Below are 13068 nucleotides of genomic sequence, written 5' to 3' on the forward strand. Positions count from 1 at the left end.
ACTTAAAAGGCAGCGCCCGCTCCTCGCCAACGTTCCATTTCCACCACCCTCAGATTTCAACAGCGGTAGCACCAGCTCCTGCCCGGGTCTTCAGCCCCACGACCCTCTGAACAATCCCTTCTTATGAAATTCTCAGTCAAGAAAACAGCAGCGGAAGTAAATGAATAAATGTTTTGTTTTCAAATCAACGTTATCTTTTATGTTCATGCAACTCAGTTAACTTTCCTGCTTTCCATTAACCTTGTAATCTTATGTTCAACGTGAGATAGAAATACACCATTTGAAATGACGTTTAAAAACTTAGTAATATTTTTAATATGATCATCACAGGGCTCTAGACATGATCTTATTTCTCTCTGCCTGTGCAGAAATCTTATGAAAATTCAAACCATGAATTTCCTTTGCTGAGATTCCCAGAATACACATTAATCCCAAATGTTACTCCCCTCCTTAAAATCTTTTAACATGTTCCCATCACCCCAGCATAAATGCCAGCTCCCGTCCACAGCCCACAGTGCCCAGCATGGCCCTGCCCTCTGCCCTGGTCTATGGACTCCCCTCTTAAATGCCAGCTCCCATCCACAGCCCACAGTGCCCAGCATGGCCCTGCCCTCTGCCCTGGCCTATGGTCTCCTCTCTTAAATGCCAGCTCCCATCTGCAGCTTACAGTGCCCAGCACGGGCCTGCCCTCTGCCCTGGCCTATGGTTGCCAGCTCCCATCTGCAGGCTACAGTGCCCAGCATGGCCCTGCCCTCTGCCCTGGCCTATGGTCTCCACTCTGGTGCCCAGCACGGCCCTTCCCTCTGCCCTGGCTTATGGTCCCCCCTTTTAAATGCCAGCTCCCATCCACAGCCCACAGTGCCCAGCATGGTCCTGCCCTCTGCTCTGGCCTATGGTCTCCCCTCTTAAATGCCAGCGCCCATCCATAGCGCACAGTGCCCAACACAGCCCTGCCCTCTACCCTGCCCTCTGCTCTGGCCTAAGGTCTCTCCCCTCTGCGGTTCCCTTCCTGCTGGACAGGCCTCTGTCAGTTCCTCAAACCATACAGGCTCAGGCCTGACTCTGGGCCTTTGCCTTGCTGTGCCCTCTGCCTGGGGTGCCTTTCCCGGGCTTCGCATCCTCCTCTCAACCCGCTCAGCTCCAGCCTGCTTGCCGCCCCTCAGGTGGATGCACACAGTGTGTCCTCCCACCCCCCTGCCTCCCCGGCCTTTGCACAGGCTCTTCTCTGTGCTGGAAACACCCCCCCTCTCCCAATCGGGGTTTACTCTCTAATTACCATTCACCCTTGGAGTCTCCACTGACATATCACTCCCTGCCCACCCCCCTCACTTGGACTTAACCTTGGTTAGGTTGCAACCCCTGTCTCCTGACTCCAGGAAGCTAGATGCTATCCTAGCACTTGGAAGTTCCCTATTGCCACATTGTGCACACCTGTAATTATGCTATTAGGTTGGTGCAGAAGTCATCGTGGTTTTTGCCATTACTGTTAATGAACTACAGCACCAGCTCCTCCCCACTTTTTTTTTGCCATTACTTTTGATGGCAAAAACCACAATGACTGCTGCACCAACCTATTAGAGTCATTTATATTTATCTGTCCATCATCTGACTTTCCCTCTAGAAAGGAAGCTCCATGAGAATACAGGCCAAATCTACCGAAATCACTCCACCTTCCTAGCACGTTGTTTATCAATAATTATTTACCTAGTGACTGATAGAGAAATACCTTCACTGTTGCTGGGATGAGGCACATGACATGCGCCTTTGAAAGTCAATTCAGTAGACAGTTAGAATTTGCTCTTCACTCCTGCACCCATGGCATGGCTGGGCTTAGGCTGATCTACTCTGGGCTTGACTCTAGGTTGAGGATGGGAACCATGTGTGCCTCACACGCCTCTCTTCCTGCAGCCAGAGCCGCCATTCCCTGGGGCATGCGCATCTCATGGGGAAAATCAAGAGCCTTAGAGGGCAGGCCTGGCGGTGCCCACACATTACAGGCTTCTGCTTGTGCCATGTCTGTGAAAATCTTGTTGGCAGAAGAAAGTCACCCAGCCACGAGCAACACCTCTGGGATGGATAAGTCTATCCACCCTCCCTTGCTGCCGACTAATGCAGCATAACCCCGGCAAGGATGTGGCTGTGGCATACTCTTATATGGGGAGTGAAATATTGAGGCCCAACGTTAAATCGCCCACAGCAAGACATGTCAGCCTCGGTGTCCCCACGCTGGAATCATTCTTCGACAGCAGGTTCGCCTGAGCTGACTTCCCTTTACAATGGTGTCTGCAGGTTTAGGCCAACGCTGTTACCCATGGAGGACAGAGAAGCCTCAATGGGCCTCTATCTGTTGGGAAGAACAAGATATTAGCTCGGCGCAAAACAACCACAAGCCCCAGGTGGCCCACGCCCCGTGAGACAGGAGAGGGGCAGAAAACTGTAAGAGCTCAGGAAAGCTTGCATCCCCAGCACCCTCCCTGTGTCCCCAACCTCCTCACCTGCATGCCCCCATTTCTCTCCCCTTCCTTCCTCCCTTCCGTCCTCCTTCCTTCCTTCCTTCCTTCCTTCCTTCCTTCCTTTCTTTCTTTCTTTCTTTCTTTCTTTCTTTCTTTCTTTCTTTCTTTCTTTCTTTCTTCTTTTTCCTTCCTTCCTTCCTTCCTTCCTTCCTTCCTTCCTTCCTTTCTTTCTTTCTTTCTTTCTTTCTTTCTTTCTTTCTTTCTTTCTTTCTTTCTTTCTTTCTTTCTTCTTTTTCCTTCCTTCCTTCCTTCCTTCCTTCCTTCCTTCCTTCCTTCCTTCCTTTCTTTCTTTCTTTCTCTTTCTTTCTTTCTTTTCAGGGTCTGGGCTCTGTCATCCAGGCTGGAGTGCAATGGCATGATCTTGGCTTACTGCAACCTTCACCTCCCGGGCTCAAGCAATCCTCCCTCCTCAGCCTCCACAGTGGCTGGGACTACAGGTGCATGCCACCACACCCAGCTAATTTTTTTTTTTTCAGAGACAGGGTTTTGCCATGTTGCCCAGGCTGCTAACGAACTCCTGAGCTCAAGCAATCTTTCCACTTCAGCCTCCCGAAGTGTTGGAATTACAGGCATGAGCCATCAAGTCCAGCCTGCTTTATTTTTGTTTACACTACTTGGAACCTTCTTTTTTTTTATTTTTTTTATTTTTTTTGAGACGGAGTCCCACTCTGTCTCCTAGGCTGGAGTGCATGGTGCGATCTCAGCTCACTGCAACCTCTGCCTCCCTGGTTCAATTGATTCTCCTGCCTTAGCCTCCTGAGTACCTGCGACTACAGGCATGTGCCACCACACCCGGCTACACCTTGATCTCAGAGACTTCTGGCCCCCAGAACCGTGAGATAATAGGTTGCTGTTGTTGAAGCCCCCAGTGTCTAGAATGCTGTTAAGTAGCCCAGGGAAGCTGGCACAGAACCCGACTGGCCCTCCTGGGCGAGCTGCTTTCTGCCAGGCTCTGGGGTTGGTGGGTGGCATTTCGTTGATCTCTTCCAGCACTTGCCCCCGTTCTGACTTGTATTTCAGGAGTGTCTTTCATCTTCCTAATGTTGATAGCCTCACACAGGTGGCATCATACTGACATCCACGAACCAGCACTCACGTATGCAGTACTTTCAGAAATTAGTTATATTTTTGCATGTTCATGGACATACTCATAAATCTAACTGGACTTCTTTTTTAAGAAGTGAAACAAAGTCTGAATTCTCCATTGTCATGTAGGCCTCAGTTCCAGGAGCTGTCCTGTAAGTTTCTTGAGAAAAGGTGCTCCCAACCTGTACGTGGGACCTCTCGACAGCTGCCTCATAGCCTGGGCCCTGGACAGCTCTGAAGTCAGAGAAGTGGGGCTTCAATAGGTTGTGGTGGGGTGAAATCCTGTCCGTCACCCATGAGGACAGATTAATGCAGCATAACCCTCTTTGTAGCAGTGAAACATGGTCAGAAACTGTCGGTCACCAAGCCATCCCTTTGGAAGTTCTTCACAGGACAATACGTCTTAGAATTTTTCACACACAGTGAAGTGCCACGAGGTGGCTTACCCATCCCATTCCTACTGACATAAATTTATATTCAAAGTAGAAACAGAAATCATCTTCTATATAACAAAGTCCTGAAAATTGTTATAACACTTAAGCCACGTGGTTCTTCAGCATCACATGAGCTGATCCATCCCAGCTAATGATCACGTGGACAGACTAGGACATAACTGTAGAAGTGTTGGTATTTTATATGTATCAAATTTCATTTTTAAAAGATTTTTTAGGGGACAGAAACGTTATAGAACAAATTTTAAAGTTCCACAAAAGTATAAATAGTAGAAAAGGAAACTAGTGCATGTGAACTAGGACTCCATGAAAAGTACCCAGTGGTTGAAGCTGCACGACTCCGTGGACACAAGTTTGCATAAATATTTAAGTGATGTTAGTTCCTGAACATCAGGACTGAACATACAAGCAAGCCGCGGCAGGTCTGCTGCCAGAGCCCTCTGGAGCCCTCGCTGAGAAGGTCCTGCTCAGGGGGCTTCCATTACTGGTTGAGGAGGGGAGACGTGCCACTCGCCTCTCCTAGGGAGTCCCTGGCCACGTACTCTGGAAAGAACAATGGTGCAGAACATGAAGAGCAGCGACCAGGCAGCGGGTGCACCTGTGTCCCCTCCTGGGCGCCTTCTGCATCCCCTGCCCACATGGAGGCAGCCGGGTCCACAAGCGCTCAGGGGCCATGTGCAGGACACTCCAGGGAAGACCACGCAGTCTGAGCTGGGGGCCACAGAGAGAGGACCTAAAGGGAAGGGCAGACATCCCACCCCTCCCCACACCCCGCCCTCTGCCCCCTGCCCCCCAACAGTCACCTGGGTCTGTGGCAGCAGCTGTGGTGACAAAGGCAGAGGGCAGGACCCAGCCCTGCGGGGGAACCTCCTTTCCATGTGGGGCTCCAGCAGGATGGGATCACTCCCTTTGCTTCTTCCTCCCTCTGTCTTCCCAGTACTTGGCCCAGGCCTGCCACAGCCATGGGAGTGCACAGCTCAGCAGGTAACCAAATCCCTAGCTTTCTAGCCAGAGAACAAAAATGAGGGTTCCCAGGAAGAAAGGACATTTTAGGGAGATTCGGGAGAGGGAGAGTCTTGGTAAGTGGCGTGTGGCCTCCTGGGCTGCCCTGGGCTGCTCACATGTGGATTTGAGCTCACGGGCAGACCTCAGCCTAGACCCTGGCGGTGCACACACAGGGCAAATGCAAACAGCACTGAACGTTTTGAGAAAGGAACTGGCTGTGGAAACCCAGACCATAAAATGTTAGTTGAAACTTGCAGCCTGAATTTAATTGGGTTAATGCTCACTAAAACAAACCAATACAAAATCAACATTCTTCATTGGAGTAAAATAAGATGCAGAGTCTCCTAACATAATATTCATGGTGTCCAGAATGCAATTCAACCTTACTAGGATATGAAGAACCAGGAAAATCTCAACTCACTCAGGAACCCCAGCCAGCCCATGCCCATGCCAAGACGACTGAGGTGTTGTGATCTGCTGACAAAAACATGAAAATAGCTATGATAAAATCACTCCACCCATAGTCACAAACCCTCTTGAATCAAATGAGAAAGGAGAAAATCTCAGGAAGGAACTAGAAGATATAAACATAAACCAAATGGACATCTTAGAAAGGAGGGGCAATAAGTTCTTTTTGAAAAAAACCTCACTGGATGGGATTATAGAAGATGGTAAAGAAATACCAGAATGGAACAAAGAGTCTGTGGATTTGAATATAGATTAATGGAAATTATCCAATCTTAACAACAGAGAAAAACATGAGAAAGGAATGCTTTAAATGAGAATATCTTCTCGTGGAGACTCAGTGTGCAGACTAGCTAGTAACTCTCCTGTCACTGGAGGGGCAGGTGAAGGAGATCTACGTGGAGATTGATTCATAAATTCCAACTAGCAAATATGGATTCTAGGCAGTGTGTGAAAAGTTAACTATGTACATTTTATTTCCTAGACAGTGATGCACTATGTAAAATTAAATCACTCCAAATATAATGATAGAGATAGGATGAAAATCCAAAGATGAAAAATGAAGCAAACGCCATGCAAACCCTCATCAAAGACAGTGGGATAAGCCACATTAGTATCAGGCAAAGTATGCTTTGAAGCAAACAAAATCACCAGGGATAAAGAGAAGAAATAAATAATGACAAAAGGGTCAAGACAACATCAATCCTAAATGTGAATTCACCAAGTGCCAGAACTCTAAAATACTTGAAACAAAAATTTCAAAACTCAAGTCTTTGCTATTGTGAATAGTGCTGCAATAAACATACGTGTGCATGTGTCTTTATAGCAGCATGATTTATAATCCTTTGGGTATATACAAGGGTGGTTTCATAGCTAAAAAAGTAAAATTGACTAATGCAATACATCATATTCACAGTCTAAATAATAAAAATGACATGATAATATCAATTGATGCCAAAAGGCAGTTGATAAAGCAATATCAATTTATGATAAAAAGTCAGCAACAAAGACTAGAGGAGAACTTCTCCAACCTGAACAGGGCATCTGCAGAAGGTCTATGGCTGGCCTCACACTCGACAGTGAGGGACCCATGCTTTCTCAGTGAGATCAGGAAGAAGATAAGAATGCCCAGATTTTCTAATCCTATTGGACATCATACTTAAAATCCCAGTCAGTACAATAAGGCAAGAAAAAGAAATAAAATGCATATTGATTGGAGAGAAAACAGCAGTGTCCTTAGTTGTAGATGACATGATTTTACACACAGAAAATCCCAAGAAACACAAAAACTAACTAAATAAATAACTCCCAGAAATAATGAATGAATTTGGCAAAGTAGAATTTATGATCAACAAACCATATTTCTACATTCACATAGAAAGCCAATCATATTTTGACATAATAGCAATGTATAATTGGAGATTCAATTTTTTAAAAAATGCCTTTGTATAATAGGTCCAAACAATGAAACATTTAGATATGAATCTTTCCAAACATGTACAGGATCTCCATGTACTACGAGAGGCCTATGAAGACAATTTTTGCATATATGTATATATGTATAAATAAATGGGTGTTGTGGTGGGTGGATATTGTGGTGCGCAGGTAGGTGTGGACTCAGGTGTGGTGGTGGGCGGGTGTTGTGGTGGTGGGCGGGTGTTGTTCTGGGCAGGTGTGGACTCAGGTGTTGTGGTAGGCAGGTGTTGTGGTGGGCAGGTGTGGGCTCAGGTGTTGTGGTGGGTGGGTGTTGTGGTGGGCAGGTGTGGGCTCAGGTATTGTGGTGGGTGGGTGTTGTGGTGGGCGGGTGTTGTGGGCAGGTGTTGTGGTGGGCAGGTGTTGTAGTGGGCAGGTGTTGTGGTGGGTGGGTGTTGTTCTGGGCAGGTGTGGACTCAGGTGTGGTGGTGGGCGGGTGTTGTGGTGGGCGGGTGTTGTGGTGGGCAGGTGTGGACTCGGGTGTGGTGGTGGGCGGGTGTTATGGTGGGCGGGTGTTGTGGTGGACGGTTGTTGTGGTGGGCAGGTGTGGTGGTGGGCAGGTGTTGTGGTGGGCAGGTGTTGTGGTGGACGGGTGTTGTGGCGGGCAGGTGTGGTGGTGGGCGGGTGTTGTGGGCAGGTGTGGGCTCAGGTGTTGTGGTGGGTGGGTGTTGTGGTGGGCAGGTGTGGGCTCAGGTATTGTGGTGGGTGGGTGTTGTGGTGGGCAGGTGTTTTGGTGGGCAGGTGTTGTGGTGGGCAGGTGTTGTAGTGGGCAGGTGTTGTGGTGGGTGGGTGTTGTTCTGGGCAGGTGTGGACTCAGGTGTGGTGGTGGGCAGGTGTTGTGGTGGGCGGGTGTTGTGGTGGGCAGGTGTGGACTCGGGTGGTTGTGGTGGGCAGGTGTTGTGGTGGATGGGTGTTGTGGTGGGCAGTTGTGGTGGTGGGCAGGTGTTGTGGTGGGCAGGTGTGGGCTCAGGTGTTGTGGTGGGTGGGTGTTGTGGTGGGCAGGTGTGGGCTCAGGTGTTGTGGTGGGTGGGTGTTGTGGGCAGGTGTTGTGGTGGGCAGGTGTTGTGGTGGGCAGGTGTTGTAGTGGGCAGGTGTTGTGGTGGGTGGGTGTTGTTCTGGGCAGGTGTGGACTTAGGTGTGGTGGTGGGCGGGTGTTGTGGTGGGCGGGTGTTGTGGTGGGCAGGTGTGGACTCGGGTGTGGTGGTGGGCGGGTGTTATGGTGGGCGGGTGTTGTGGTGGACGGGTGTTGTGGTGGGCAGTTGTGGTGGGCAGGTGTGGTGGTGGGCGGGTGTTGTGGTGGGCGGGTGTTGTGGTGGGCAGGTGTGGTGGTGGGCAGGTGTTGTGGTGGGCAGGTGTGGACTCAGTGTGGTGGTGGGCGGGTGTTGTGGTGGGCAGGTGTGGACTCGGGTGTGGTGGTGGGCGGGTGTGGTGGTGGGCAGGTGTGGACTTGGGTGTTGTGGTGGGTGGGTGTTGTGGTGGGCAGGTGTGGACTCAGGTGTTGTGGTGGGTAGGTGTTGTGGTGGGTGGGTGTTGTGGTGGGCAGGTGTTGTGGTGGGCAGGTGTTGTGGTGGGCAGGTGTGGACTCAGGTGTGGTGGTGGGCGGGTGTTCTGGTGGGCAGGTGTGGACTCAGGTGTGGTGGTGGGCGGGTGTTGCCACGGGTTTGTCACCTCTTCCTGACCCAGGAAAGTGCAGGTTCCCAAGAGCACTCCCAGGTGTTGGGTTCAGGTTTTCCACTATGGGACCCAGCACCAATTCTGGGCCCCAGGAAATTCTCTCTGGACCCTGTGCTCTTACCCCGTGTATAGACATTGAGCTATTGGTAGGTCTTTACAAACAATACCGGGTCCACTATTCTGAGAGGAGCTGAACTCCTGTGTGAGACACCACATCGGAAACACCAGGGCCAAAAGCCAGGTGAGCTCCCGGCCTGCACTGTCAACCTCACTAGGTGTCAGCCTTCCTTGCCGGGTCCGGCAGCCTGCTGGTGAATCTGGACTCTCCCAGCCTTTCTGGGTCCAGCTGTCTATTGGTGAAACTGGACTCTCCCAGCCTTTTTGGGTCCGGCCGTCCGCTGGCGAAATTGGACTCTCCGGGTGTTCCTGCATGTGTCACAGGCCAGTTGTGTTGTTACCTGCAAATGGTAAGATGCTTCCATTTTAGCCGTATTGTTTGATGACTTTTGGTAAAATAACAGTTGAAGAACAGAATGTAGTAACTGGCTACGTAGATCTCACCTTATTCCCGTTTTCCTTTTAATTTTGTTAACAGCCTCATTAAGATGCAATTCACCTACCATACAATTCACCTATTTACAGTGCACAATTCTTTGATTTTTAGTGATTCACAGAGCTGTGCAACCACAATCAAAAGGAAACCCCACGTCCTTGAGTTATCACCGCCAAAGTATCCCGAATCCTCAGCAGCCCGTCATCTACTCTCCATCTCTAGGATTCGCTTATTCCGGACATCGATAAAAATGGAATCGACGTGTGGCCTTTCCTGGTGGCTTGCTGCCCGGAGCGTGAGGTTCCGAGGTTCATCGTGTGGCTGTGGCCGCGCCTCCTTCCTTCCTGTGGCCAAGCAGCTTCCTATTGTGCGGGATTCTTGCCACTCAGCACAAAAGAGGCAAATAAACTAATGCAGCAGCTCCTCATCCTGCGGGGCCAAGCGGCTCAGTGTCCTGATTCCTCACTCCAAGGCCCCTTCACAAGCCGTCTACATTGCACCTGGTTTTCTCTTTTGTTCTAATTTATTTGTAAGAAATCTTTAAAGAGTCTACTCACTAGTTATTTGTACGTTGACAATATTTTTTAACAAATAACTTTCTATTTTGACATATTTAAATGTATTAATCTTTTTCTTTCCTTGTTTATTTCTATAGTTATTTATCTTTTTATTTTCTTTAATACTTTTCAGGATTCCTTTTCAATGATTATTGTTTATTATTGAATTTATGTATGGATTTATATCATTGAATTTATCGTTTTTGGATAATGTGAGGTTCGTGTCTACAATTTTTTTCCAATCTAGAATTGACTCGTTCTAATATTATTTATCAAATAGTAGATTTGCCTTTTTCCTTCCTACTTAATAGAATGTATATCACATACCAATTCCTGTTGAATAAACAATGCCTTTTCCGTTTTTATTGTCTCTTTATTTGCCAGTGTCTTAATGTCCCATAAGAATAATCAATTCCTTATTTCCCCATCAGTCACCACCTACATGTCCACAGTACACATTAATTTCAGAGTATGTCAGAGCATATGCTCAAAATTAGCTACTTTAAAAATTAATGTAGCAAGCTATGCCTTGTAACAGCGTTCTTGGGAATATCACACGATAATATTAAATATCAGGCAGTTTGAGAAGCAAGGTGCACTCAGACACATGGACCCACGTGCACACACAAGACTCAGTGAGATATCGGGAACATTTTTTTCTTAAATCAGAAATCACTTGTTATTTTTTGATATTCTAAGTGCAGTTTTCTCCAAATTATAACTCCCTGGTTTCTTCCAAAGTATTCAGCCAGAAAGAGATATAAATGTACATTTGAAATTGCCCAAAATTATGGCTGATATAGAATACTGTCCTTCTCTAAAATATCCAGTCATTAAACTTTGAAAAGTTATGCTAGTGAGAACATGCAATCACCAGCCAGAGGGTATTAATTTGAAAGCAGACAAAAATGGTTTTATATTTCTATTTTGAATGTTCCATATAAAACAATTACAAATATCTGTTTTACTGATCTATATCATAGTTAGCCTACACTTAGTACAAGTACAAAATAACAATGATTACAATGAAAGTATTATACTTACTACTTTTTTCTTTATACTATTTTAAATGAAATAATACAGCAAAAGAATACTTAAATGAAAACCACATACATACTATTTTTATGCAATGTTCAGCCCCCTTAGTTCAAAGGAAGATAGAAAAGAATGTTTATTATTCCTGTGAGAAGGAGGAGCTCAGTCATTTCTATGAGTGTTTGACTTCAGGGTAAGTTACAATTTAAAATTTCCTACTGGGTTAATAGCAGGTACCAAAAGTTCAGAAGAGCAGCAGTAATTACTTCTCTCAAATGCAGAGATTCATCGGGAATATCACGCAGCTTAGCCTTACGCATATCCTGTTATTTTCATTGTGGCTTAAAATACATGCAATTTAATGTTACTTCTTCTAAAATATCCAAAGGCTACGTCATAATCAAGTTAGTATATTTGGCTATTTCAAGTTGTATATTTTTTCTTATAATTCAGTTTCTTTATGAAAGCACATACAAATAGTATGTGTATAACAGAGGATGACTGTGAACATCTCTGCCCTGTGATGAACAGGGCATATACATAACAGATTTCTCTGAATTGAACTAGTCTGCGTGTTGTACATAGTCTGGTAATTCGGGCACTATGTAGGGATTGTGTAAATCTCGAACAGGCTATTTTTCTTTCTAAATTGTGTAAAGATCACAGTCAATTACTTCATATATATATCAAGCTCTCTATGGCTTCAAACCCTTGATATCCCAGCAAATTCTAGGTTCACTTTATTTTATCTTCTCTACTCCCTCAATAATCAGATTTGCTTGCTGCTGAGACCTCTGTTATGTTCATGTGGCTTCCTGTTTCATGTGGTTATCGATGCTTCTCTCTCTCCAGGCCTCTGTGCCCCTCACTCTGCTGCATCTTACTCTGTGTTCCCATAATAGCTTCATTAAACTCGAGCAAACACTTCTCTTGCTGGGCTTGATTTCACTCCAGTACATGACAATAATTTGGACATTGTCTCAAGCGCGCATTAACTCACAGTTATTTTAATGATCTACTTATTTATTTCTTGTTACTGACTTATCCAGCTTCATCACAGGACCCTGAGGTTGAGCAGTGAAACTGAAGCCAGGACAGAAGATTGCTGAGCAATACAAACTACAGTATACTAAAAAATTAATAAAAAATTAAAAAATAAACAGCACTATTTTTACATGAAGCTCAGTGTCTGTTTGCTCTCCCTGATAAGTTAATTCCTTACCTTGAGGGTCCTAGGTTTCCCAAGCAAATAGAAGTTAAGTGCCCTGCTAGCTTTTCACAAACCCAGAGCCAGATAGCCTTAATGTTCCCCTCAGCTTGGCCAAACTTGTGACCGTTTCTTCCTGATCATGGGACCCTGTCCTCCCTTTTCTTAGAACATTTACTGTAGAAAACTCTCCAGTGTGAATTCTTCCTTTGACCCTTTGAGATGCAAATCTTCTCCTAGTCTCTGGCTAGGTTTACAATTTAGGACTGTCTTTCTTTCTCAAGGAGCCATCCCTTTGAAATGAAATCATCAGGAGAGATAGAGCCCTCATCCCTTAGCCTCTGTGGGAGGGCAGGAGCCTAATTTCCATAAACACCAATTAGCAAACACAAAGTAATCCATGTAATTCAAAGTTACCCACATAATTTATTTTAGTGAGGGCACTGTATTAGTCTCTTTTCATGCTGCTGGTAAAGATATACCTGAGACTGAGCAATTTATAAAAGAAAGATGTTTAATGGACTTACAGTTCCACATGGCTGGGGAGGCCTCACAATCATGGTAGGAGGCAAGGAGGAGCAAGTCACATTTTACATGAAGGGCAGCAGGCAAAGAGAGAGAGCTTGTGCAGGGAAACTCTCCTTATAATAAGATCTCATGAAACTTATTCACTATCAAGAGAATGGCATGAGAAAGACCTGCCCCCATGATTCAATTACGTACCATCGGGTCCTTCCCACAACATGTGGGAATTATGAGAGTTATAAGATGAGGTTTGGGTGGGACACAGCCAACCCATATCTGGCTCCTATTTTTATTTTAAAGTAAAATAAAATTATATAACTTAGCCTTATATGTCATAATTATATATTCTGATAGTGTATATCATAATATGTATACATACATAATAGTTCTATTCTAAAAATTGAGTATGTAGGCTCTAGTAAGCCAATGGGAAACCAGCCTCCACTACAGAAAAAGTAACTTTAAAAGAAGGACTGGGAAGAGAACTTCCTAATATGGACAGTGGAGATTTTGTGTAAGAATA

At 46.0% G+C, this 13068-nt stretch overlaps 1 annotated feature.

The window, feature by feature from the left end:
• Positions 12001-12552: an enhancer, noted in NCBI's record as "NANOG hESC enhancer chr5:26240218-26240769 (GRCh37/hg19 assembly coordinates)". NCBI's record gives its function as "activates a minimal SCP1, AML or CMV promoter by ChIP-STARR-seq in naive H9 embryonic stem cells {active_cell/tissue: H9 hESC(naive)}" and the evidence as "EXISTENCE:reporter gene assay evidence [ECO:0000049][PMID:30033119]".

Source organism: Homo sapiens, chromosome 5 (genome assembly GCF_000001405.40).
Source record: "Homo sapiens chromosome 5, GRCh38.p14 Primary Assembly".
Taxonomy (NCBI): domain Eukaryota; kingdom Metazoa; phylum Chordata; class Mammalia; order Primates; family Hominidae; genus Homo; species Homo sapiens.